General features: G+C 45.8%; 1 long non-coding RNA gene across 1 annotated transcript, besides 1 other annotated feature; it reads right to left on the reverse strand.

Annotated features, from left to right (window-relative positions):
• Positions 1858 to 2426: an enhancer, noted in NCBI's record as "NANOG hESC enhancer chr18:75682747-75683315 (GRCh37/hg19 assembly coordinates)". NCBI's record gives its function as "activates a minimal SCP1, AML or CMV promoter by ChIP-STARR-seq in primed H9 embryonic stem cells {active_cell/tissue: H9 hESC(primed)}" and the evidence as "EXISTENCE:reporter gene assay evidence [ECO:0000049][PMID:30033119]".
• Positions 2361 to 24794, reverse strand: LINC01029 (long intergenic non-protein coding RNA 1029). Its single transcript, NR_104127.1, has 2 exons — positions 24702 to 24794; positions 2361 to 3580 (listed from the first exon to the last, which is right to left on the reverse strand). It is a non-coding gene; the product is annotated as a long intergenic non-protein coding RNA 1029 (long non-coding RNA).
• Between the last annotated feature and the right edge of the window lie 225 nt (positions 24795 to 25019).

Consider the following 25019-nt stretch of genomic DNA (forward strand, 5'->3'; position numbering starts at 1 on the left):
CCAGCTCTCGGCTGGCAGTGCCCGATGAGAGGCACAGCGTCTTTGCCCAGCTGTGCTGACAACTGTGTCTTCCCTCCCAGGAGCAGCTTCTGGGAGGGGCAGATGTCGATGACTGTGTTCCCTCCCAGGGGCAGATGCTGGAGGCTGTCTTCCCTCCCAGGAGCAGGTCTTGGTGGATGTCTTCCCTCCCAGAGGCAGATGCTGGTGGCTGTCTTCCCTCCCAGGGGCAGATGCTGGAGGCTGTCTTCCCTCCCAGGAGCAGGTCCTGGTGGATATCTTCCCTCCCAGGGGCAGATGCTGGAGGCTGTCTTCCCTCCCAGGAGCAGGTCCTGGTGGATATCTTCCCTCCCAAGGGCAGATGCTGGAGGCTGTCTTCCCTCCCAGGAGCAGGTCCTGGTGGATATCTTCCCTCCCAGGGGCAGATGCTGGAGGCTGTCTTCCCTCCCAGGAGCAGGTCCTGGTGGATATCTTCCCTCCCAGGGGCAGATGCTGGTGGCTGTCTTCCCTCCCAGGAGCAGCTCCTGGAGGCTGTCTTCCCTCCCAGGGGCAGATGCTGGTGGCTGTCTTCCCTCCCAGAGGCAGATGCTGGTGGCTGTCTTCCCTCCCAGGGGCAGGTGCTGGTGGATGTCTTCTCTCCCAGGAACAGTTCCTGGAGGCTGTCTTCCCTCCCAGGGGCAGATGCAGATGCTGGTGGCTGGCTTTCTTCCCAGGGGCAGGTGCTGGAGGCTGTCTTCCCTCCCAGGGGCAGGTGCTGGTGGCTGTCTTCCCTCCCAGGGGCAGATGCTGGTGGCTGTCTTCCCTCCCAGGGGCAGGTGCTGGTGGATGTCTTCTCTCCCAGGAACAGTTCCTGGAGGCTGTCTTCCCTCCCAGGGGCAGATGCAGATGCTGGAGGCTGTCTTCCCTCCCAGGGGCAGATGCAGATGCTGGTGGCTGTCTTCCCTCCCAGGAGCAGGTCCTTGTCTGTCTGCCTGCTCCGCCACCTCTAGTCTTGATTACCCCCATGATTCTGTAACCCACTGTCTTCTGGGAAGTTATCTTCTATTTAAATTAGCTTGAGTTGATTTCTGAGGTTTGCAATGACAAATCCTGATGGAAACAAACTGGAAGCCTGGTTCTTCCTTTTTATTCTATTTCAGGCTGTCTGTGACTGGCATAGGGAAACAGGGCTGTTTAGGATATCTTGTTTTCCTTCCATGTGGAGCAGGGCTCTGATTTCCCTGAGTACAGTGGCATGGCTCAGGGACAGCTTTTGAACATGTCTGCCCCGGTGCCAGTGATCTCAGTATCTCATTATTTATGCTGACATCATAACCCTACTCTTTAGTAACCCAAGTGCTTACTGATTACTTTTATTAGCAATTCTCCGTGGTGGCACCATGAGAAGAGTGAGGAGCATGGTTCCCACCTCCCCCATCCAGGTAAGAAGCTGGGGAAAGGCCGGGTGGACATGGCCCCCACACCCTTGGAGGTGAAATGCTGACTAGGAGGGCTGCAAACCAGATGATGGCTGAGTGGCTCTGGGGGCTTCATCCAGCCTGTGGACTGCCCCATCTGTCCCTTCCCAGACCTTTTCTGGTGCAAACACCATGATCTTGGCTGTGAGGTTTGCATCACTTTTCCTTGAGAATCCTGACTCAAGACAGTGGCCTTCAATCTATTGTTATCCAGAGACTCTGTGGATCTACATTTCCAAAGAAAAGTCATGTTTAGAGGTGTAAAAAACGGAGCATTTGTTTATTTTTATAAGGACAGCAACGTGGCCAGTTTAGGGTGCGCTTAACCAAGCCACTTATAATATTTTGCATGAAGAAAGAGTAATTAGAACAGCAAGTAACATCGCGGGAAATCCTAGATCACAGGGGATGCCAGAGGGTTCTTGTGTCTATCAGCATTGATTTGAGGCTTGCGATGTGTCAAGGAGAAACAATGTCGTGTGGAAGCGCAACGAGGCAGAGTGCACGCTTATGGATTTCAAGCATGCCTGGATATTTGCCGTTGGAAATTTCTATTTGGGATGCCAAAGACATTGTGGGTAGCCACTATGTTGCAACGTGACCCCACACAGCCTCCCTTTTTGTCCTTGGCTTAGCCTACAAATGCCATTCCACTTATGAAAACAAAGAGGCTGGAATGTGAGGGGAGTCAAAGATAAAAGAGATTCTGCCAAGGAATGGAAATGAAAAAACACAAAAGCAAGCCCATTTGGTGCCTGATACGTTGGGTTACATCCCAGCCAGCAGAATCAGAAATCTTGAATTTGGTCCTGCTGCCTGGGGTGTGTATTCAGAGATGTCCTCCTCAATTGGCCATTTGGACTTAGACACAAGAGTAGAAGCAGCTCTAACGAACCATTCTCTGTATTTTTCCCAAAGACATTTTATATTTGAGCAGACACAAAAACACAAATTTGCAGTTTAATGTCAAACAATTAGAAGAATCTGTTTATGATAGATTCTAGAGCACAGGATTGCAAAACATGGGCACCCTCACTAAGCCCAGTGAAATAGAAATTCCAAACACAAGCGGAATTTGGCGTCTCAACCCATCCTCAGAAATCTACGTAAACAAAGTTCTGTCCCATTACATTTTAGGGGGAATCTTTCATTTTTTTGGTGTACATTTATAGGTCGTTACAGAAAATAAACCAATAGTTACAAGATTATGAATGATTTGATGAAGATGCCTTCATATCAAGTCTTGTTCACCATAAATTGGCATATGAGATTCATTAAAAAGCTACAATATGATTAATGAAGATGGTCACCAGGTACAACAGGAGGGAGAAGCGAAATATAAACCAGAAATACAATTTACAATTAAATTAGGAGGCAATATTAATCAAATGGAAGAGGCAGCTAATTAGAAGAACAAGTATGAACTGAGTGTTCAGTTGCATTTTAGTGTCTGGTAGACTCTGAGCTGAAGACTGAAGCGGCTCTGGGAAGCAGCAGAACACAGATTATAATCGCCTTGAGGTCGTGGGTTGAATTTTTCTTGCCCTTTCATCCTTTTTTAAATATTTTTCCAGCTTTCCTTTGTTGTACGTTACATTTTAAAAGTATTTTTAGAATTGGAATTTTAGTCTGCATGGCCATTCTGGGTAAGTGTTTCTGGCTTTGATCTCCCTCTCTTGAACAAGAGTCCCATGGTGAATTTTGCCCATCCCAGCCCAGGCCAGGCTAGGGCATCTGCAGGAGTGATGCTGGGGCTTTGTTGATGAGCCACCCAGCGAGCCAAGAACCACGGATCCTTTCGTTTCCTCATCAGCCTCCTTTACCTTTGTTGTCCAGTCTTTGGGCAGATATATTACGGAAATGCAGCATAGAGTCTGAAGTTGTTTTGTTTTCTTCCAGTGTTTTTGCTGGCTGAGTGACCGATCCCGGCCCTAAGTCATGTGGCCCCTCATGCGTTGTTCTGTGCCTCCGTTCTCCTTGGGGACCGCCATCCTGGGTGCCTCTGCCTGCTCCTCAGCACCCAGCAGCATGCTGGCTCCATCGGGGCTCACGGAGCTGCATTTCTCTGGTGCGGGAGGAGCTGTATCTCTTCTCTGAGTCTTTATATAATCTCATGCACTCTCCTTCTGCTTCGGAGCAGGGCAGAACTCAAAATTAGAACTTACTGCTCTGACTTGACCATATTTTAGACACCATAAAAAATTAAACTAATTCTATAATATAAGCAATCAATGTTAGCAATTGGATACTTATGCTTTCTAAAAGTTGTCATGGGGATGAATGTCCCAACCTTCCTTTCCCAACATTATTGAGAAGGGACATTTCAGAGCTTCTATTTCTTCCTTCAGTGATATTCTAGTAGAGGGTAGTTTTCCCCTCCCTAATTGAATGCGTGGTCCAGAGTCATAGTCTTTGCCTTAGAATTCACAACTAAATGAACAGCGTGCTGTCGGAGACTTCAGGAGGGGCCTGATGCATCTAGCACGAGAAAGGTCATTCACATGAACTTAATGAATTCTGATATTCAAAACTGATATTAATGGCCTTTGATACTGCAAATGTGGAAGCTTATTACTTTTGATGATGATTAAATTGATTGGAATTTGTAGCAATATATTTTATGTATATTCTTAAGTCAGAAAGAAACTAGGACTGATAGGCTATCTTGAAAAGCCATTGCTTGAATGGTAGTTTATTTGGAAATAAACAAAGAATAACACACTTGATATAGTAAATGGCTCTATAAAGCTTTTCATTTTTTGAAGTGCAATTCTTTTATGCTCAAGAGCCATTTTAGGATAGAAGTAGCTAAACATACACATTTAATACAATAATTACACGTCTCAGAACACTGATGGAGAAGGACAAGTAGACTTAAGAAAGTATCTGCTTCTATTAGCGATTTGGCGCCTTCATGGAGAGTCACCATCGTTAAATTCTTCACCCAAAGCCCGAGCCCTCCCCCGTCAGAGCTGCTCCATATTTCTCTCAGAAATGCACAGCACAGCCTCATTCTTTTTGTCTAATCACATGAGGAAAATGTCCACTTCAAAGAGGGAAAACAAAACAAACAAATTAAAAAAAAACACACTTTCTATTTGGCAAATGAGTCCCTCCATTTACATTCGGTTTCCAGTAAGAGGTAATTTCTAATCAGCCTGGCATGAAAACAAAGCAAAATACATACATATAAAGCTTCAATAGTTTTAGGATGCTGGTTAGCTGAAATTTAAATAAACACGACCATTATAACTAATTCACGAAAAAGGACTGAAAGCAATTTGTGGCAGGGCTGTGTGGACAGCACGGTGTGATGCGATTAATTTGAACTGGGCAGGGTGTGGGGGGCAGGGCCAGCAGGGCCCTGGCGAGGCTGCCTGGGGAGGGTGGCACAGCTGTGCGGGGTGGGGTGGCTGGTGCTGGATGGCGGCTGCAGATGCAGGACCCATCTGCCTTTTATATACGTGCCTGATGGAGGCACACGCCATGGCTCTCCTCCCAGAAATGGCGCACAGGGCCTGTGCCAAAAGCAAGGGCCCAGGCACCTTCTGTGAGCCTAGCATGGCTGTGGGGTCAGAGCATCTTGTACTGGGATGTACCAGGAGCAAGCGGGGGGCAGGAGGCACCGAGAGCCACTGCCCAAAGTGTTTATTGGCACTGTAGTTTCTCATGAAAATCCTGCACTTGTATACAGAGATTAAACAAATTACCAAAAAATGGATGGTGGATGGTGGAACCCAAGTTTCTCACTGTTGGAGGGGGTGGTTAGAGGAAAAGATAGATGATTGATAGAAGATAGACAGATAGAGAATAGATAATTAATAGATATGCATGGTTGATACATGGAGTTAGATAATAGAGAAAGGTAGATGAAAGATAAACAGAGGCAAATGTACAGATAGAGGTAAATGTATAGACAGAGATAGAAATAGATAATATATAGGCAGACAGACAAAGAGATACATAGATAGATATAGATGATAGATAATCAATACAGATAGATATGGATAGTTGATACATAGAGATAGATAATAGAGAAAGGTAGATGACAGATAAATAGAGGTAAATGTATAGATAGAGATAGAAATAGATGATATATAGACAGACAGAGAGATAGGTAGGTAGATAGAGATAGACTGATAGACCAATAGATAGATGATAGATAGATAGATAGATAGATAGATAGATAGATAGATAGATGATAATTAGAGATTGAGGCATGTACACAGGTAGGCTTACATGCACATATCACAATGTGAAGGAGAGGGGTAGATCCTGAAAAAACCATCAGACCAATTCCAGTTAAAGGCCATTCTACAAAATACGTGACTGGTATCTCTCAAAACTGTCAAGGCCATCAAGAACAAGGTAAGTCTGAGAAACTCTCACAGCAAAGAAGAGCTGAAGGAGCCACCACAACTAGGAATGAGGTGGTGTCCTTGGTGGGATCCCGGACCAGGAAGAGGCATTAGGGAAAACCTAATGAAATCCAGATAAAGGTGAGCGTAGCTGACACCACTGGCCCAGTGCCGCTTCCTCAGTTGTGGCAAACACACCCTCATAACCAGAGGCGCTGACAACAGGAGGGTGGGGTGGAGGCTAGGCAGGTCCTCTTCCAACATTTTGGTAAATCTAAAGTTATCTTACAGTTAATGATGTAGTTAAATAGGACAAAAGTGAGGCTTTAAAGGAACCACCTGCCTCTGATTGGTCTTTGCTCTTTCTCCTGCCATGCCGTTCTCCTACCGGGTTCTACCGTGACCCTTTATTCCCATTTTAGGGTTGTGTGGAGTCTTCTATAGTAGTGGCTGGAATGCTGTGTGGCCTGAGGGGGTTCCTCCTTTTTGTCTCTGTCCCATAGAAAGGGTAGGCTGATGCAGGCAGAGAGATTCTGTGTCTTCCCTGAATCCTGCTCCTGCTGGAAGGGAGTGCTTTCCAGAATGCCCGCCGAGCGCCTGGTCCAGGGGATGCACATGGAGAGGAATTCTCCTACATGATCAGGGCCGAACTCTGCTCCTGCTGGAGGGGCAGCGCTTTCCAGAATGCCCACCGAGCGCCTGGTCCAGGGGCCGTGCATGGAAAGGAATTCTCCTACATGATCAAGGCTGAATCCTGCTCCTGCTCCATGGAGGGGCAGCGTTTTCCTGAATGCCCACCAAACACCTGGTTCAGGGGCCGTGCACAGAGAGGAATGCTCCAACATGATCTAGGCTGAGTGCACCCCCCACTTCCTCCTGCTGCATCTCAAACCTTCTAAGGCAGCTCATGCATTAAGCATTCCTTGTTGTCACACACCAGGGCATCTCGACATTTTAATTCTGCCTCAAACACCCCCAATTTATAATTCTCAGAGTTGTGTTTGAACTTTCTTTTCATGTTGGCTTAGAACCCGTGTGTCTGGTCTTTGTAACTTTCTAGAAGATTTAGGAAACTGCAGTGTATTCTGAAAAGTCAGGGACATGAAACATTCTTAGTTGAAATAGAAGGGAAAACAGTTAATTTCACTCTGGATGACAGTTTTTCAGGGAACAATGGTCTCCGGGAGTTGACACGAGGCAGTAATGAGTGAGGGAGAGGAGAACTGAGTCACAGCTGCACGGGCAATCACCGGAGAACATCCACTCTCTTCCAGCCAGAATACCATTAATACGTGTGTCAGCGCGGAGTGAATCTCGCCGGGTGCACGCCGCGCTGAGTCCAGGAGAGAAAATGAAGAGCATCCTCGGGGACAGGCCTTTCTTTTTCTCCGGGAGTCTTCATTATTCAGGCATTGTGATAGTTTTCCTTTATTTGTGTAAAGATTAAATTGCACATGATTTCTAATGTTTCTGCTACTCCAACTGTCATAGGTCGACGACCTTCATGCACGCGAGATAATAGATACATCGTCTGCGGTTCCGGCCAGTGCTGTTCTCCACAGCTCAGTACTTCCCCATTGTTACAAGTCGAAAGCAATTAAATAAAAATACAAGACAAGGCACCTCAAGGATGTTGAGGGTTTCATATATATCTTTACGTGACCGCATTTTAGCACAATCCCACGCGATTATCTAGTGGAATGCTGAGAATCAGAAATGATTCGTGGGGGAAGTGAGATGTTATTGAAGAAGACATTCCCTGGAAGAATCACAGCATTGGAGCCTGGTGGGCAAACTCCCCACGTCTGAAACTTTCCATCAAGAGACTTCCGATGAACCCCACTGTATTGGTGGCATCTCTAGTTTGCTCAGCTTCCTCCTTGGCTACCCTATCCGCACATAAATTGAATGAATATTCAGGAAGCCCATCCTTGAAAAAAACAGAACAGAAAAATAATGGATAGTCCCACCTTTTCGGTGATTGTTCATAGGGTAGGGGTGTCTCTAATCATTGTTATTTCAGAAGAAAGGCCCTGATGAATCACACATAGTTACCTGGGGAGTAGACTTCAAAGGTTACATTTTAAAAAGTACCTAACTCAGAAAAAATGGTAGTGCCATTACGGATAATAATCCCTTTTTGTTGAACCAAGAATTTTTCTGATGTCCCTGTCTTTTCCCGCTGCTAACACCTTCCCCTTCCCACCCTATGAGAGTGGAAAGAGATTCTTTCTATTGATTGATCACCTCCCTGGATGACCTTGAATCCAACTTTCCTCAAATCCCTGTCGGCTAATGCCAGCTGTCTCTCTCCAGCGGGGGTCACGTCCGCTCTCCAGAAGAGATTTCGGAAACATTCGACGTTCATAAAACTGCAGTCCTGCCCCTCCAGGACTCAGGATCCTCATGTCTGTTTCTGCTGTCATATGTAGGTTGGCGTCCAGACAAGATGCCCCTCCTCCACCACTGGCCTCCCCCGGGGCCCAGAGAGAAGGGGTGGCCCTGGGAGCCCTGCCTGGTCCAGGTCGCAGCGATTCTCCTCCAGCCCTGACAATGCCATGGGTGGCAGAGCAAAGGGACCTCGGAACCCCGCTTCTCCTCTAAGCTCGTGGACATCTGGAGCAGTGCCTGTCTGCAGTCCCTGGGGAGATGCAGCCCCAGGGCTCCAGGATTGGGGTGCTCCACGCCTCCTAGTCTCTGTCACACAAGCCATTCCCGCTACACATGTCCAGGACAGGACCTCCGAATACTCTGATCAAAGCAGCCCACCCTCCTTGCCCCTGTCAATAACTCACAGACGTACTCCCCAAACCTCCTTATCACGGTGAGCCTCCAGGGGACCCCCCACCCCGTGGCATCCATATTTGTGACCCTCTACCACACTGAGTAGGGCTGACTGCCGAAGTGAGTGAGGGCAACCGGGCCATGAAGCTACCCCAGCTTCTGCCTCACTCTAACTTAGCTCCTGGCTCCGGGGGAGGCCAGAGGACACCCCAGCACCGCTAGAGAGACACAGGGATGGTGAGGAATGGGACATCCAACAGTAGCCCTCCAGGTGACCCCCTCGAAGCAGATCCTGGCTAAGCCTCCGATGGCTGCAGTCTGGCCAGCATGTTGATAGCAGCTTCCCCAAAGAGCTGCTCCAGAATCACAGGTTCAGCTGATCCCAAACCTGTGACCCACAGAAACGAACGAGAAGACAGCTATTCATCATCGCTGTTTTGGCACGTCGTGTCTGGGGGCAGTTTGTTGAGCAGCCGTCCAAGGCTAAAGCACAGGCCGCACATTCTCATATCATTCCCATCTGAGGCCGGTGCCAGGGACCACCCAGGCCCGGGCCGCTCATCCCAAGGGGCTGTGTGTCTGTGTCCCAAGAAGGGGGGACTCCATTCCTGCCCTCCCTACTTCCCCACACCCAGCTTCCCCCTGCACCCTGGAGCTCGCAGGCTTTTATGAGCTAAATTCCCTTCATCCAGAACCTCTTCCTCAAATTATTCACCTTCTCACGCTGGCGAAAACCTGGTGTTCAGCTGAAGACCCGGCTCTTCCTGGACTGGCTTCTCCCATCACTCCTGTCACTCCCCTTTCCTACCCCTACGCATTTCTACCCTGTTATCTTTTCTTCTTGGTTGAGCCTCTAGCTTTGAAAAGTATGCCATTCACTTCACCACCTACCAAGTCACACTTCTTCCTGAAGACCTTACCCCTGGTCCCCATGAACTTCCTCCCGTGTTACTTGTATTATATGCGTGGGGTCACCATGAACTTCCTCCCGTATTGTTTCTATAATATGCGTGGAGTCGCCATGAACTTCCTCCCGTGTTGCTTCTATAATATGCGTGGGGTCGCCATGAACTTCCTCCCGTATTGTTTCCATAATATGCGTGGGGTCGCCATGAACTTCCTCCCGTGTTGCTTCCATAATATGCGTGGGGTCGCCATGAACTTCCTCCCGTGTTGTTTCTATAATATGCGTGGAGTCGCCATGAACTTCCTCCCGTGTTGCTTCTATAATAAGCGTGGGGTCGCCATGAACTTCCTCCCGTATTGCTTCCATAATATGCGTGGGGTCGCCATGAACTTCCTCCCGTGTTGCTTCCATAATATGCGTGGGGTCGCCATGAACTTCCTCCCGTGTTGCTTCTATAATACGCGTGGAGTTACCATGAACTTCCTCCCGTATTGCTTCTATAATACGCGTGGGGTCACCATGAACTTCCTCCTGTGTTGCTTCTATAATATGCGTGGGGTCGCCATGAACTTCCTCTCATATTGCTTCTATAATATTTGTGGGGGTCACAGGATTCACATAGATGAGGCGCCCCCCTCTTGATCTCCTAGTTTACAACAACTTAACTTTCTATAACTTAAATTACTGATGAAGATTCCTTTCTGTATTGTGGGGTAATATGATATACATTGGTCACTCCTACAAGGATTTATAAAGCAGTTTGAAATAGGAGGAGATTTGAAATGTTTCAAGCGCAGTCATCTATATGGAGACCCTGCTAAGGAACACCTGCAGCTGCACACAGATAAGACGCTGCAGCAAGGAAGGATACCCTCGAGAAGATGGTGCTGCACCCACGGGGCCTCGTGCCTCAGCAGAGCTGTGTGTGGGCAGGTGGTGTAGAATGGGACTCCAGTGTAGCACGGCATGCAAGAGTGGAAGCCCTGATGCTGCCCCCACGGACTCTGAGCACACACTTTACTGTTCTGTTCTCGAAAGTCGCGCTCCTGAATCCTCACCTGGCTGCTCTGAGTCCTCCTCTCCTCAGACCTCCTCAGTGGGCACCAGTCCTCGATTTCAACTTCTCAGGGAAACTGTGTTGGCACCACCTATTAGGGTCATCTCTGCTCATGCTCCTTCTGAGTCGCCTCATGCTGAACAGCTCAGGAATAAAGGAAAGAACAAAATATCAACTGAGCAAAATGGTGAGAGACCTCCCTGGCAAAGATCAGGCCCCCCAGCAGCCTGCACATCCAAAAGATGGTAAGCCCTGGCTGCATGTTTCAGACCAAAGATCAGGATCCCAGCCCCAGTGTGGGCTGGTGCTCTGCCAAAAAGGGCCTGCTGCTTATGAAGGTGAACATAGGATTTTGGCAAGAGAAAAAACAACAGCAGGGGCTCTCAAACACCCCCACACCAACCAAGGAGCATTAGGCAATATTTGGGGGTGTTGAAAAAATGGTTGCCACAACTGGAATAGAGGGATGCTGCTGTCTTGTATGGGGAGGTCAGGGACATGGCTACACCCTGACCAGGACGGTCCCTGCCACAGAGAATTAACCAGCCGGGAAAGCAGGAAAGGTGGGTAAGCAGAATGGTGAGATTAATTAGAGGTGCAAATAGAAAGACTGATGATTGATATTTGAAGTCTTAAAGGCATTATGTAGTCTAAAGATGGTAGATACTGGACTCAGTTTCCACTCTCTGAGCATTACATAGACTTCTCAAATGTCACATACGCACGCTCACTAGGTGAACACCAACCTCAGTGAGAGGCTCCTGGGGATGCAGGAGTCATGAATTCAACGGGAATGAGACAATCACAACAAAAACCCTCACTGAACTCGAATTCAAAAAGCTCCAAAAGGTGCTCAACATCAGTAAAGGTCGGAGACACGAAGGAAAACCACACTGAGTAAACTGGCACACCCATTAGGATGGCAACTATTAAAAACACAAAAACAGAAAGGAGCAAGTGTTGCAAAGGTGTGGAGAACTGGAGGCCTGGTGTCCCGCAGGGGTGCTGTCAGACGCGGCCGTGGCTGGGGAGGATCCCATGGAGCTCTGTTTCACAGCCCTGCGAATACACTTCATGCTACTAAGATGCACTGAAAACTGGTTCAGCTGTTAAGATTTATGTTATGTATTTTTTAGCATAATAAAAATACGCTCCTCATTTGATGAAGATGAAAAATAACATTAGAGACCTAAAACACTTTAGGTAGAGGCTTTTAACCCCGTGGTCAAAAAGACCTGGGTGGGAATCACTTTGTTTTTGTTCCTTTTTTTTTTATTTTTTTGTTTTTGAGATGGAGTCTCGCTCTGTTGCCAGGCTGGAGTGCGGTGGCGTGATCTCGGCTCACTGCAAGCTCCGCCTCCCAGGCTCTAGCGATTCCCCTGCCTCAGCCTCCCCAGTAGCTGGAACTGCAGGCACCCGCCACCATGCTGGGCTAATTTTTTGTATTTTAGTAGAGATGGGGTTTCACCATGTTGGCCAGGGTGGTCTTCATCTCCTGACCTCATGATCCACCCGCCTCTGCCTCCCAAAGTGCTGGGATTACAAGTGTGAGACACTGCGCCCAGCCAGGAATCACTTTTTTATTCATTTGACAAATCTTTGTAGAGTGGCAGCAGTTTTAGGTCACTGTGTTTTGCACTAGAAATATCATCATCAAATGAAAAGGACTTTTTTCTGTCTTTAAGAACTTACAGTCCTGTAAGTGGGTGGGACTTTGTATAACCATCTCCCACATATTCACTTAAACGTGGGGCAAGTGCTAGCAGAGGAGAGGACTAGAGCAGTAGGGCAGCTGGCACCAGACAGATCCTATAAGCTGGGATGTGGAGAGTTACTAGGATGAAAGTAAAGGTGGGAAAGGGAAGAATGGAGGTCGAGGGCATTCGAGATGAAGGAATCTGTAGCACAAGGTTCCAGAGTAGGGGACCACAGGGCTGTGGAGTACGGAGATAAGGCTGGGGTATCCTGGCCAAGGGTAAAAGTGGTACAAAATGAAATCACTGAGCTCAGAAGAGCCTGCTCTAGGTCCATAAAGACACATGCACGTGTGTGGTCATCACAGCATAAAGACACTTGCATGTGTATGTCTGTTGGAGCATAAAGACACAGGCACCTGTGTTTCCACAGCATAAAGACACAGGCATGTGTATGTCCACCGCAGCATAAAGACACAGGCACCTGTGTGTCCGCAGCATAAAGACACAGGCATGTGTGTGTCCACCGCAGCATAAAGACACAGGCACATGTGTGTCCGTCACAGCGTAAGGACACAGGCATGTGTGTGTCCATTGCAGTATAAAGACACGTGCACATGAGTGTCCATGGCAGCATAAAGACTCATGCACACATAAGTCCATCACAGCATAAAGACACTTGCATGTGTGTGTCCGTCAGAGCATAAACACACATGCACATGTGTGTTCATCACAGTATAAAGACACATGCACACATATGTCCATCACAGCATAAAGACACTTGCATGCATATGTCTGTCACAGCACTTTTCACAATAGCAAAATCATGGAATCACCCTAAATGTCCATCAACAGAAGATTGGGTGCAGAAAATGTGGTACATATACACCATGGAATACTACATAGCCATGAAGAAGAACAAAATTATGTCCTCTTCAGTAACATGGGAGGAACCAGAGGCCATTATCCTTAGAAACCTAATCCAGGAACAGAAAATCAAATACTGTACATTCTCACAAATGGGAGCTAAGCTTTGACTATTCATAGACACGGGTACTGGAGGGTGGAGGGTGGGAAGAGAAAGAGGAGTGGCAAACTATCTATTAGGTACTAGGCTTATTACCTGGATGACAAAATATTCTGTACACCAAACTGTGACACACAAGTTACCTATATCACAAGCCTGCACATGTACCTCTGAAACTGAAATAAAATTTAAGAATAAATAATAAATTTAAATAACTAGGGGAGAAAAGAATGTTGGGCTTTATCTTAAGAAATGGGCAAGCCATTGAAGGTTTTTAAGCAAAGCAGAGGTGTGAACAGGCTTACCTTTTTACCAGGGAATTCCCTGTTAGCAGGGAGGAGACCAGAACGGCGGTGTGCGTGAGAATTGGGGTGTGCAGCAGGCAGACGTGAATGAGGAGAGAACATCGTGGAGGCTGCCGTGTGCCTGCAGAAGCCTCTCACAGGTTCCCAGTGACTCAGTTCAAGGTTTTATGCTTATAGAAGCTTCAAACTTTCCTCTAGAAGCGGGGACAGAGTCCTGGTTAGTGGGATTCCTCATATGAAATGCACATCTCAAGAGAGCACGATCACTTCCAAATAGAGGCTTTCGGGAGAGAATTTTAAAATAGATTTTTGCCTTCATTATAAATTCCCGATTCACAATTCAATTACATACTTTCCTTTTCTGGGAAGTAACAAGCTTCTTTTGTTTTACATTTTCCCTTAGAGTTTTAAGTGTGTTTTGATCATTTGTAGACGTTTGTAAGGAAGGGCAGGATAGACGTCTGGGTCTTTGTCACAGTGAAGGATCCTGGTCAGGAGCTCTTGGCATTCCCATGCCTTCCTAGAGCGACTTTTCCGCAGCTGTTGCCTGGTGCTGCCACCATAGAGGAGAGTCCGCCCTCTTGCAGTGGTGTCCAAGCAGGACAGTTGGTTATGGGCGTGTGCTGAGTCTGCAGCCCAAAGCTGGCACTGGAAGAGCCAGGGGCAGGTGAGACGTGGGCCAGAATCAGCAACCTCCCTGTGGGCTAACTTTGAACCCCTGCAGACAACATCTGGTGCTATGCCTTAGAGAAGCCTGCAGGAGCCAACACTGAGACATTCACTTAGGTTTGAAACACAAAGTTGCCACCGTCCGTGCCACCAAATGCTCTGTTAGGATGCAGGACTGTCCGCTGTGACTCCCTCTGCATTTTCCCACAGGTTTTATTCTCTCCACTTGTCTTCAGTTGCTCACTGAGGTCCTCTGGCAGAGACAGCGTGCACAGACCCAGGAAAGCTTGGCGGGTGGGTGGAAGGACCCTCTGTGGGACAGCCGCTTCTCGGGATGCTGGGATGGTGCCCTCCAGACCCTGGTTTCCCTCAGAAGGCTCCCCGTGCCCCTTCCTCTGGGAGCTGGGTTTGCTCGTCACTGTGGAGGCCACGTGTACACTATGCTTCTGGGGTGCCCCTCATGTCTCAGCTGTCCCCTCTCAACTGTGGGCGCTTTGAAAGTGGGGCTCATGCTTTACTGATTTTTCTATCTCCAGTGCATTCTTGTAATTGACATGCAACGTAACTTTAAAGCAATAGTTTAAAAATTCATCTATCAGAAGATATCAAGGCCTAACATAAATTTTAGCAACCCTCCAAATCTCATATATTTTTTAAGAATTTCTGCATTCATCGCATTGCTATGATTTCACATTTTCTGCCCACCATGTGTAGCCCTGCAATTTGCTTGTTCTGGCCCACAGTAGATAAACCTGGTCTGCCAAGTTTTCTCAAATCTTCTTATCTAAAATCTTATTCAATCACTCAGAAAGTAGAAATATTTACTCCAACAAAAATAACACGAGCCCGCTCCCTTCCTACCAAGGGATCATTTCTCCTGAGTATTTTGACATTAACAATTTTAAAAGATGAACAAATTTCCCAAAATTCTTTAAAAAGTTAGTAGCTTGTCATGTTTGACACTACTGAGATGCACATCCCCTCTGAAACAGATTGGCCAAATCCTCAGGCAGCAGAGGAATTCGAGTGGAGGCCTGAAAGGCAGGCTTCGGACTAAGGTAAGAGTTCAAGTCACTGAGACCTGAGCCCATATTGAAATCGAAGCTGTGTTTCTTCAGCACCTACGCACCCTAAATCTGTGCGCGCACGAAGCTCCGTGGCCGTCCCACACCAGCCTCTGCTCATCCCTCCCCCGCCCGGAGCACTTGGGGTGACTGCCCGCTCACTGCTCAGCTGGGAGAGGAAGTCCGCCATCTGGGCCCTACACCCTCATGGAATGTGCCTCTCCCTCCAGCACCCCCGCCATACTCCTACAATAAATGTGTTTTTCTAATCATAATTGAAAACAGTTAAAAATGAAATAGAAAATGCAAAGGATTTTTGGCTAACTTTTTTCAGCCTATTAATATTTTCCTAAGCAAGATTTAATTCAAGGGCACATTAAACGGATTCAGTAAATGACTGTGTGGTATATTAACGGTAATACAAACACCAGGCATGGACAAGCTGCAAGACTTCTTTAGTGAATGCACAATATCCAATGAAACTGGAGCAGGAAGGCTTGTTACTATCATTCTGTGCGGTATATGTCTGTATGGGTGTGTAGGGGTGTGTTTGTGTGTGCCTGTGGGGGATGTGTTTGAGTGCGTGTATATGCATGTACCTGTGTGTCTGTGTGTGCATGTGTTTCTGTGTGCATAGTTGTGTGTGGGTGTGTATGTGTCTCTGTGTAGAGATGTGTGTGTTTGTGTGCATGTGTGCACATGGATGTGTTGCATGTGAACATGTGTGTGTCATGTATTTTTGTGTGTGTCTTGTGCGAGGCGTGTGTCTACATCTGTGTGTATGTGCGTACTTGTGTATTGTGTGTTTACATGTGCACGTGTGTAGATGTATATGTGTATTGCATGTATGTGTGTGTGCGCTGCATGTGTATGTGCGTATGTGTTTGCATGTGCAGGTTTATATGCTTGTGCATATATGTACGTATGTTTTTGTGGGTGCATTTGTGTGTGTGTTGTGAGTGCCTGTGTATGTGTGTGTGCATGAATATTTGGGTGTGGGGACATGTGCATTGCGCATGTGTGTGTGCCTGTTTGTGAGCGCTGACACTATTTGCCCTGCCCATTGATCGTCTCCCTTCCCTGGTCTCAGATACTCACTTGTTCCTCTCCTAAGATACCTGTCTGCACCATGATTTCTATGGGCTTACTTCATTACCATATATCATCCGGTTCAAAGTCAAACCTCATCAATTAAAGACCAAAAAATAAAACAGCAAAGTGGCTAGCTGCACTCCTTCTGAGTAAATGACAATTAGCAAATAGACAATCCTTCATTGTTTCCTTCATTAACAGAAAATAGTACACTGGGCTACTTGGAGGATTTTTGGTTAATCGGTGGCATCCATCTGCAGCCTTTGTTTAGCAGGTCTGTGCGGCTCTCCTCTCCGGCACGAGCATGTTTATCGTGGTCTCCTGAAAGCCCAGAAGCCCATAGGTCAGAGAACAGCGTTTTGATGGATTATAGGATTGTAACTGTCCCTGCCAGTTGACAGCTTTTATTGGCTGGGAGGATGAGCCTGTAAACCTTTATATAATTATTGTATTAAAGGCACTGTGCCTCTGTGTTGCTGGCGCTTGTTCAGGGATCAATGTGGAGATAATTTCAAAAATGAATAGTAAGTATTGATCGTCCCATGGTGGGGCCTTATCAGCGGCTGAGGCCGAGGGCTGCAGACTATAACTTCAATGTCATTTATGATGATATGATGTGCATTGCCGGGGAGCAATTTCAACAAAGGGCTGATTTAATTCGCAGCGGATTTTTGTAGTGTGATGGGTAATAAATCACAATCTATGTAATTTTTAGAAATGAACACATGTTGGCAGTAGTTCAGGGCAGTTCCTAAGAGATCTGAAAATGACCAGGGAGGGGAAATATCAGCCGAGAACCCCCTCTGAATGATTGGGCTTTGCTTGATTCTGGCATTCACATGACCTTGGGGTCCCTGCTGGCAGCTGCTGGTTAATTTTCTTCACTGAGGACACAGTTTAACTTTCTATCTGTCTGCCAATTACCTGACATTTTCAACTTATCACCTTCTATTTTTTAAATGATTGGAGGCACATCCACATTTTGACATTTTTTTTAAAGCAAGTATTCGTTCTGTTGCTGCAGAGGCATCTCTCTGCCATTCTGCTGTAGTAGCCCTCTTCTATTTCCCCTCACGAAAATTAACATCAGTTTACATAACCACATAAAGAGACAATTCGGGCATTTTATTGTAATTTTCAATACTTCCTTGGTTAGATGCTGCCAACTTCTAAATTTCAACCTTAGCCATAGACTCATGCATGGAAACTCACAAATCGTCTCTTAGGAAATTATACTCAGTGGTCCTTGTTTGAAGAAGGTTCTACCCTTTAAAAATAAATCATTTTAAAGTAAATCATTAAGGAATACTGGAACAACATGAACAGATTCATTAAGCCCTCTAAAATTAGAAAAAATGAAGCAACAGTCATGAATTGTAACTTGTTGATTTCAGTTATTATAATACTAACAGTATATTTTATATCCATTCATTTCAGAGGAAGCAAATTTTGATACTTCAAGGATATTGGATGCAGATCCCTAGGAAAGAGTATTACAGGATTAGAAAACTAAAAATAGAATCCAGGCTGGGTCTGCAAAAGGCGCAATAGTTCTCCCAGGTTCCCACCGATGCTGATGTGGAATCTCAACGCCAGTGCCCCTGTGCCGGGGCCGCATCTGTCACCGTGCGCCCCCGTCTAAGCGTCGTTTAACTGGGGGAGGAACAGGTAAATTAGAGAATCTTATATCCAAGGCCAGGTTTTGTACTACATGACTCAGACTCAGTGAGCGAGGGCGTGTTCTTGGAGGGCAGATTTCCCAGCCTATGGATTTATAACCCTTCCTCCATGACCTGGGATTCTGCGGCTTCAACTTAGAGCTCACAGGCCTGAGCCCCCGAGAGCCCAAAATTAGAAAACATCTTGTGTGATACTATCTCTTGATTGCCTGGTTCGTTGTTTTTACATTTTTAGTCTTTCTTATTTTCTAAAAATAATCGTGAAGCCCTAACCTTTCCCCTCTCACATCAATTCATGGTGAAAACACTTTCATTGTATTTCAGATAGTTTACCCCTACCATTTTTTAAAACGTGTTGCACAAACCGGGGCCTGCTGGGGGGTGGGAGGCAAGGGAAGGGGGAGCATTAGGACAAATACCTAATGCATTCATGCATGTAGGGCTTAAAACCTAGATGACGGGTTGACGGGTGCAGCAAACCACCATGGCACATGTATACCTGTGTAACAAACCTGCACGTTCAGCACATGTATCCCAGAACTTAAAATAAAATTAAAAAAACAAAAACAAAAACATGTGCTGCCCTCACAGTGCCCGTGAGTGAGTGTGCTCATTCTGCTCATCCACCCAACACTTAGTTTACTTGCAAATACAGGACTTAATACTTATGATGTCACAGACACCCCCCAACACACACACCCAGTCTGTATCTCTCAATCTCTCAAGGCGGCTTCCTCCCTCTTCCTCACTGCGTGTCTCTCTTACCTTATGGAGAACACTTTTCCTACCTTTCATTTTTCCTCTTCAATTTTTCCCTAACCTCGTCATACAAAAAAAAAAACCCTCCCCCAACCCTCACCAATATATTACAACCAAATTATATGTAAAAGATCTGAATGGAACCTCTGTCATCTTGGGAACAGCATATGGATTCCAATAATAAGTCACAATTTCTATCCTCTGCCCCAACCTGTGCTATGTAAGGCTCCTGCCTACAAAAACTCCACTTCCCAAAACTCAGTTTCCTTCGGTTCCATGTGGTGCCCAGGAATGTTTGCTCTGCGCCTACAATGGCTTCCTCTGAAGACACTTCTAAGAGAGATGGCTTTTCCTTCACATAAAGATATTGCATCCTCTAGCTTCGATGTTTGACTTACAGTCTACATTTTGCCATTTGGCATAAAAATGTTGAAATAAACTTAACACAACAGACATTTATCCAGCCCCTACTCTACGCGGAGCATGATGCCAAATCCTCGAGGCACAAAGATCCTAGGATTAAGCCTCTATCTGTAAGGAGCTCCTAGCACAGAACATAAGAGGCACATGACAGTGGGTCCATTTCAACCCGTTACTGGGAATATAGCAGTAGGAGTGCCGGATACAGAGGGTCCAGGGCCCCGGGGTCAATGGCATTGACATCCAGCTGCAGTCCCACATAGGGCTTCTCAGAGAAGACGGTGGCTGAACCAGGGGCGAACAAGGATGCGTCAGGGTGCGCTAGGTGCACATACGTCTAGTTAAGAGGAGCAGCGTGTACAAAGATGTGAAGCTATGAAACAGTCTGCGGAAGGCGGGGGAAGGTTTTGGGAGTGAGGGAAGGGGAGGCTGGGAAACAGGAACCAGTACTGGAATGTGTAAAAATGGTAGAAATAATGTTCAAGGACAAGGGTTACTTTTAATCCCACAGCTTCCATATTCTACTCTTCTGATGAATTATCCATTTAATAGCTTCCTAAGTAATCATTTTAGAAAGTTATACCAATAAAATACTCTAGTCTTTCAATTTTCCCCAATGTAAGACCTCATTACCTCCTGTAATAAGAGTACAGTGACATTCTCAGCACTGTACTGTACTTAAGAGCCAGTGTACGTTTCATGAAGAAGATGCCTTTCAAGTTGTGAGTTTCCTAATGTTTCTACGATTTCATTTCTAATGTTATAATTAATTGATTTTCAACTTAAATGTGGTATTTCCTCTCTACAATTAGAAATGTGAAATATAAGAAAAAACTTACATTGTATGCTTTTTATGTGTGGTTCATTTTGGTTTGCACTAATTTCAATATATTTTTGATAATGCTGTCCTGGTAGAACATATAAAAGGAAAATACCTGTCCTGAAGCATTTATCGGATTTTAACAATTATAGTAATTAAATTTTAAAGCATGACCATAAGTTAGAAAGAAATAAAAAGTTGATATCCTTCAAATGACTTAATTTGTATTAATGATAATCATATTATATGATGTTTTATTTTACTTATTTTTTTCTTTTTTTGAGATGAGGTCTCATTCTGTCACCCAGGCTGGTATGCAGTGGTGTGATCTCGGTTCACTGCAACCTCCACCTTCTGGACTCAATTGATCCTCCTGCCTTAGCCTCCCCAGTAGCTGACACTACAGGCATGTGCCACCATGCCCAGCTAATTTTTGTACTTTTTGTGGAGACGACCATGTTCCCCAGGCTGGTCTCAAACTCCTGAGCTCAAGCAATCCTCTCACCTTAGCCTCCCAAAGTGCTGGGATTACAGGCATGAGCCACCGCACCCAGCCAGCATTTTGTTTTTAAATATTGTAGTTTCTGTTATCTTTGCAATGAAGATGTGAAAGGAAACATTATCTTATTCATATATTAATATTATTAATAAGAATAATCCTCATTTATTAAATATTTCTGAATATGGAGCAGACACAGTGACAACATTTTGCATGTATGAGCTCACTTGGTCTTTCGGTCACTCTGAGACAGTTGCTTTTACGTCCCCGTTTTGCAGATGAGGTTACAGAACATACCATCCCTCCAAGCCCACGCAGCTCGGTGAAGTGAAGTGAAGCAAGAGTCCAGCTCAGGTCTGGGTCCAAAGCTCATGTCTCAAAATTAATCAGGCTCTACAAAAGACATTGGTTCCCTAAGTGAATTACATCCTAAACAATTTTAAAGAATTAAGAATATATTCTGCTTTTTTTTTTTGAGATCTTGAGCTAAGAAGACTTTATTACGCTTCCACATTCTCTATTCTGAAAATATCTACTATCATATTTGGGGAAAAGAACAATAAAATTTTACCTTATGTTTACATGAGAAGGTTAAATATTTTAACTTTATCCACACCTCTGACAGTCTTGGACTTCAACTGAGCCCTGTGATCCTGGAAAATGGTGAAGGGTAAGAAATCTCACCGTGGTGTTCCTGCAAACAGCTCACTACAAGGTGCCGCCCGCCCCATGCGGCTTAGGTGAGATCCAGACGAGTCCCTCGAACTCCGTGCCTCATGCATGATTAGCTGTATCGCTTGTTCCCGCTGATGTGTCAGACGTCATGCTTGTGAGTCAAACACAGGCCAAGCTTTTCACCTTCTCCAGGTCCCCACACACAGTCTGAGCCCCATAGACAGCCCTGTCACCAGTCCCTCCTGAGAACAGACCAACCTCGAGGGAAAGCATTTCCGGACCTGCACACCCAGTTTATCTAGCTCTGTTCACTTCTCCTTAGAAAAGAAAAACCCTTTTCCTAATCCTTGGGAGACATGCAGACTTTACGGGTGGAGACTTCTCCCCGTGGCAATGACCTCCTCCCTCTGTGGCCATAGTCACTTTCTCTCCTTTGCAATAACCCTGCTGAATATCGTCTCTCTTTGCCCAGTCTGAGTTTATTTCTTACTGGACACCATTTTTTATCAGCACAGAATAAAGATTGACTGCTCAGTGATTCAACTTTTATTAAGTAAATTGCATCTCCTTCGTCAGGTGACCCGATCCCAGTTCTACCAGCACAACACACACAGCTGCCCAGTCACCTCTCCTCCAGAAGTTCCACCGGGAATTAGATGAGACTTTTGAAAAATTATTTTAAATGGTAATAAATTCTGTGCATGGTAAAAGGTAAAAGAGAGGGTGGTTTTGATGCCCTTTAGTATAAACTCTATAGAATTAAAAAAACTGCCACGCTTCCGTTTTTCCTAAGTGTTTACCAACATGGACGTGAGTAGCAATGTGAAGATCAAACACTCTAACTCCAAGAATAGAGGCTGAGTGCAGGTTATCCGGCAAGCGCCATCGTGGGACACCGCCTGGCCAAGACGCCCCACGCCCCTCGTATATGTAACCACACATGCAACTCCTGCTTACTCGTGTTAGTGGATGGGGTCAGAGATGCGGATAAATCAATGTATCCGACTATTCTAAAATAATTACTATTGATCCATGCAGGACTGGAATTCTTGCCTTAATATTTAAATATTGATATATATGACACCCTGGAAATCTAGAGTCTTTGAAGTAAAATGATGATGACACCTTCTAAATTTACCCATCTCAATTGGGCTAGGGTTTCCCAGTGCCCATATCTCTTCTCCCGCTCTCCTCCACCCAGCAGAACAGACCATCTACTGGAATATGCTAGAACTGCCAGAAATGAGTGACACATTCAACTAGAACAATTGGAGGATTTTCGTAAGGGGCTGCTCACATAGGAGTGGGCGGGTCACAGGGGACCACAAGAACTTACTAGGAGTGGGTGCAGGCTCTTCTCCTGAGACTGAATTGGAGCAAGGGAAAACCTCGCTGGGACCTGCAGTGAGAGGCTATGTGGACAGGGTGGGCCTCCAGGGTGGGGTGTGCTGGGGAAGGGCCCAGCTGCCTTGCTTCTCACAGAGAGGGTTGAGGAACAAAGGCCCTAATTTTGCCTTCCTCATTCACAGGTCCCATGGATGAATCCTGCTGATGACTAGCTATCCCAGGGATGGAGCCCATGGTGTCAACCCCTCAGGACACAGAGCAGAGGGGGAAAGAGCTGAGAGTGAATCTGAATGAGGGACAGAAGATGTGAGTTACAGGTAACTCATTTTATTTTATTTTATTTTTTTGAGACGGAGTCTCTGTTGCCCAGGCTGGAGTGCAGTGGCATGATCTCGGCTCACTGGAACCTCCACCTCCCGGGTTCAAGCAATTCTCCTGCCTCATTCTCCCAAGTAGCTGGGATTACACGTGCACGCCACCGTGCCCAGATAATTTTGTTTTTGTATTTTTAGTAGTTTCACCATGTTGGTCAGGCTAGTCTCGAACTCCTGACCTCAAATGATCTGCCCGCCTCGGCCTCCCAAAGTGCTGGTGTTACAGACATGAGCCACCAGGCTTGGCCTGATAATTCATTTTAGATGTGTGTTCAGGCTTGCATGAAAGGAAGTGATGACAGGACCACGAGATTTAAGAGCTTACAAATCAACGAAAGGAGTGCACATGTGTGGGTCATTTGAGGAGTGATGACTCGGGATGGAGGTGTAGGCACAGCGGGCCTGGAGTTCAAGTGAGTGATGACGGGAATGGTGATGGAGAAAGTGGAGGTGTAGATGGGAGGACAGGTTGGGTGTGCTTTTGATAGAGGTGGTTAGAGGAAGCTTGCTCCAGCTAAACACACCAGAGAAGTGCCTGCCGAATGATGGAAACAGGTGGACATTTCAGAAAAAGAGGGAAGAAATCACTGATGAGTTGGAAATGGATCCAATGAGGCAAGAGGAGACAGAAACCACCAATATTCTTATTGCTAGGCCCTGAACCGGCAATAAAGAGGGAAAGGGAGCTGGATTAGGAACACGTGAGGGAGAGAGCCATGAGTTTTTATTTTTTTTTGTTTAAAATAACTTTTGATTATACAATAAACACACATTTTAAATAATTTGCAGTAAATAACAAAGAGAAAGCAAGAAATTTAAAATGGCCATAAGTGACTATAATCATGGTTTCTAAGAGATAGCCACTGGTTTTCAGCATTTTTGGTAGATTCATTTAGTACTAAATATTATGTGCGAGTTGCAGACATGCTCTCCTGTGTCGAATCTGCAGAACACAATGTCTGACAACCAGAAAGGGCCAAATAAATCTTCGTTGTACAAGTTGTTCTTTGAAGAAATTTAGATCATTCGTACATGTGTGTGCGTGTGTGTGTGTGCCTGTTTCTAGCATTATAATCTGCTTTAAAAATACAGTTAGCTTTTTTGTCATTGGAGATTTTATTTATAATTTTCATTATTATAAATATGATAACTATTCTATAGAGTAAACTGTGGCGTATGTGTGATGCTTTGCTTAGTATAAATTGGAATTCGTTACTGGACATGTTGAACTTCAGCTTTTGGAAGAATATCCAGATGGAGCGGTATAGGGGTCAGGAAGAGATGTATTGATACTATCACAAATGCCTTAAAATACCAAGTGAATACACCTAGTCTTGCCGTCTCTATTTTTTTCCTTGGGGAGATGTCAGAGAAGCCCAGACAATGGCTGATCATCTAAAATGAAGTGTGGGGTAAAGAGAGGAATAATGGTAGACCCTTAGAGAACGCTCATTTTCAGACATGAGAAGAAAGAAGGAGAGTTCGGAAACGGACTGCCGAATGTCTGGGGGTGACAAGAAACACCAGGACAATGGAATGTCACTACACCGCCAAAAAGTGTGGAGCCATTTGTGTTCCCTATCCTTCTCAGGAGAAGATCTGGGCTGGAAGTGCTGGTTTATGGTTTGTTAGTGTATTAGTCCGTTTTCACGCTACTGATAAAAGACCTACCGGAGACTGGGCAATTTACAAAAGAAAGACGCTTAATTGTACTCACAGTTTCACGTGGCTGGGGAGGCCTCACAATCATGGCAGAAGGCAAGGAGGGGCAAATCATACCTTACGTGGATGGCGGCAGGCAAAAAGAGCCTATGCAGCGAAACTCCCGTTTTTATAACCATCAGATCTCGTGAGACCCATTCACTATCACGAGAACAGCACGGGAAAGACCCGCCCCCATAACGCAATCACCTCCCACCGGGTCCCTCCCACCACACGTGGGAATTCAAGATGAGATCTGAGTGGAGACACAGCCAAACCGCATCAGTTCGGCAATAGGTACTGGTCAGAGCCAGAGACCAGGATGACCCTGCCC

The sequence above is a fragment of the Homo sapiens genome, chromosome 18, assembly GCF_000001405.40.
Source record: "Homo sapiens chromosome 18, GRCh38.p14 Primary Assembly".
Taxonomy (NCBI): domain Eukaryota; kingdom Metazoa; phylum Chordata; class Mammalia; order Primates; family Hominidae; genus Homo; species Homo sapiens.